Source organism: Homo sapiens, chromosome 1 (genome assembly GCF_000001405.40).
Source record: "Homo sapiens chromosome 1, GRCh38.p14 Primary Assembly".
NCBI lineage: Eukaryota > Metazoa > Chordata > Mammalia > Primates > Hominidae > Homo > Homo sapiens.
Genome location: NC_000001.11, coordinates 233,404,638 through 233,408,298, shown reverse-complemented (window position 1 = coordinate 233,408,298; position 3,661 = coordinate 233,404,638).

Sequence of the window (3,661 nt, the reverse complement as noted above, 5' to 3'; positions counted from 1 at the left end):
CCATGCCCAGCTAATTTTTTGTATTTTTAGCAGAGATGGGGCTTCACTGTGTTAGCCAGGATGGTCTCGATCTCCTAACCTCATGATCCGTCTGCCTCAGCCCCCCGAAGTGCTGGGATTACAGGCATGAGCCACCATGCCCAGCCTCTTTGCACTTTTCTAACCCAAGTTCACAAAGGTCATAAGCTTTCTCTAAATTTTATTATCTTAACTCTCACATTTAGGTTTGTCATTCATTTTTAGTCAATTTTCATATATGGTGTGAGGTAGGGGTCTAAATATATTCATTTATGTATTGCTAAAAAGAAGAACTTCTGACAAATTAAAGGTAACACAGTTTGAGCAAAGAACAATTCATGAATTGGGAAGTCTGAGTTATGGTTTCAGACAAGGTAGGGAAAAGTAGAAATAACTACCCATTCCCCAGGCACTATTAAGTTCCAGGGTCAAGGGCAGCTAAGGCCAAGCCAAGAACACCATTTATTTAGATTGCATGTTTATTTGAGATGAATTTGATGAGGGGTAGATAAGACAGAAAGACCAGTGCTCCTCTGGCCCCTCATTCTTAGGTGGTACATTAGAGGGGCACAAAACAAGACCTGCTAATCTCTGAGATTTTGTTTTTTTGAGATGGAGTCTCGCTCTGTCTCTCAGGCTGGAGTGCAGAGGTGCAATCTTGGTTCACTGAAACTTCTGCCTCCCGAGTTCAAGCGATTCTCCTGCCTCAGCCTTCTGAGTAGCTGGGATTACAGGCGTGTGTGCCACCACACCCAGCTAATTTTTGTATTTTTAGTAGAGACGGGGTTTTGCCATGTTGGTCACGTTGGTCTTGAACTCCTGACCTCAGGTCATTCACCCCCTTGACCTCCCAAAATGCTGGGATTACAGGCATGAGCCATTGCACCTGGCTAACATAGACTTTTGGACACTTTGTTTTTTTGAGCAGTAGGAAATTTCTGAAACTTATTTTCAATTACCAAGAGAACAAAACGTTCAAAACCCTGATTTCCTTGTAAAGAAAATGTGTCATTCCACCACATGAATGACAAGCAGCATTTGAATATTTCATTAAAGAATGAGAATTCTCTGAATTAGCCAGAATGAAAGTACTCAGAACACCATGTGGTAGAATTTCAAAAGAATGACATCACACATATATCTACAGGCTCTTGTGTTACACACTTCATTATTCAGCAGGAAACTCACTGGCTACATTAACTGTTAAAGATTCCTTCTGTGATGAGAATATAAATTGCATACCAGAAAACAATCTTTCCCCTCAAGACACAGAGTCACTAAATCAAATATGTTTTGGTATTAAAAGTCCACCAAGAGTTATGATAGACAACAGCTAGACAAAGAATGAATTTTTCACAATGTGTACACCAATGAAAGAGAAATATTCATCATTGCTAGGAAACTTGAGCCAGTAGCTGGTAAATATCAGCAGGAATTCAGAATCTGATGTTAGAGCAGTAAATACCGCAAGTGCGTCTGCCCAGTGCACAAGATCTCGTCTACAGAGTAAGCATCAAGAGTTTAGCGTATGGTGTTAGGTTGCATTCTCAGGATGCTTTGAAGGTTCTGCCTGTTTCAAAATGAAGTTTTAAAATCACTTTACTGACATAAGAAGCAGAAAAGCAGCCTTTGACCCTGGGAGCCAGCCTGGTACTCACTGACAGGTCTTAGTGTAGCTGTGAGCAGACATGCACTCAAAGGTAAGCCTTGGTTAAGCCTGACATCAACATCAGACAAGGCTATTCTGTGACTGGGGTGGATCAAGACATAAACCAGACAATTTCATAATCATGTTTGAACACATGCAAAGCATGCACACTGTTCAGGCCACAAAAATAGAATTACTCCAGCTGCCTGATACTATACTCTCCAGGGCAAAGCCCTGCTTCCTTAAACCCTCCCCAAAACCACCTAATGCAAGCTCAAATCATGTATGCCCTTTCTAACAGCCTCTTAGAAGGGCCATTCAGAGACACCCCACAGTCCCTATGGTGTGGGTTCTCCCTTGCTGCAATGAACAATAAAACTAACTTTTTCAACTGCATGTGTGTTCCTGGATGGAGGATATTGATGGAGATACAGTTTACATTTGACAAAATACATATATTTTAAACATAAAGCTCAATGGATTTTGGCAAATATATACACCTATATAACCCCCACCAAAATATAAAAATGGAACATGTCTACCATTTTTGCCACTTTCCAGTCAAACTCCATATCACCTCTAGCCCCAGGCAATTCAAATGACCTGCTAACTCTCTTCTTGGGGTCCAAATACAGCATGTACTGCCTGGCTTCTTTCTCTCAGTTTATGTTATGTTAATGCAGACAGGTTTTGTTTTTTGTTTTTTGTTTTTCCCAGTAGGTGTGTAGTCTGCTTTCTTTCCTTGTCAAATTGCCCAATTTGGACCTCTTAGACAAGTGACGAAAGTAAACATCTTTGTCTTCTTATTACTGATTTTAGATTCATGGATTCAGTCTTTCACTATTAACTGTGATATGACCTGTAGATTTTGCATAGATTCCCACTATCAGGTTGAGAAAGTTCTCTTCTTTTTCTAACTTGCTTAGAGTTTTGATTATTAAGAAGTGCTAAACTTCATCAAATGCTTTTTATGCATCTGTTGAGGTGATCATATAGGTGTGTTCAAAAAATCTTCTATTCAGTGAATTACAGTCACTGATTTTTGAATGTTATACTAACCTTACAATTTAAATATAAATCCCACATGATTCAAGTGATCTCACTGGAATAGGTATGATCCTATTGATATTTAGCTGGATCAAATTTGCTAACACTCTGTTAAGGAATTTTGTGTTGATATTAGTGAGGGATATCAGTGCATAGTTTGCTTTTCTTGTCTTTGTCTGGCTATTGTATGAGAGGATGTTGATCATATAAAATGAATTGGGAAGTGTTTCTTATTCTTTTGTTTTATTTTTTAAAACATTTGTGTAGAATTGATAATACTGCATTCTTGAATGTTTGATAATATTCACCAGTAAAGCCATCTGAATCTGGAGTTATTGTGTTGTAAGGTTTTAACTATGAATTCAATTTATTTAATTTATATAGAGCAGGTTTTCAATTTCTCCTTGAGTCAATTTTGGTAATTGTGACTTTCAAAAAATTTGTCCCTTTCATCTAGCTTATCATTGGCATAAAGCCATTCATAATATTTTCTTATTATGCATTTAATACCTGTCAGAACTATAATAACATCCTGTAGTTCATTCATGATATTGGTAATTTTCTTATTCTAAAGAGGTTCTCCAATTTTATTTATTGTTTCAAATAACTGGCTTTGGTTTCCATATTCTGACCTTTTCTAGGTGATTGATTTCCACTCTTTTTTATTATTTTCTTCCTTGGCTCTTATTATTCTAGCTTCCTGTGGTAGAAACTGAGGTCACTGATTTCAGAATTTTTGTCCTATACAATGTATTTAAATCTACAAATTTCCCTTTGTAGCTGCATCCCATAAATTTTCATATATTGTATTTTCATGTTCATTCCATTCAAACTATTTTCCACTCTTTTGTGATTTATTGTGATAAATAATATTTATTTATTTATGGATTATTTGGATGTTTTGTTTAATTTCCACATATCTGGGGATTGTTTAAATATGTTTCTGCT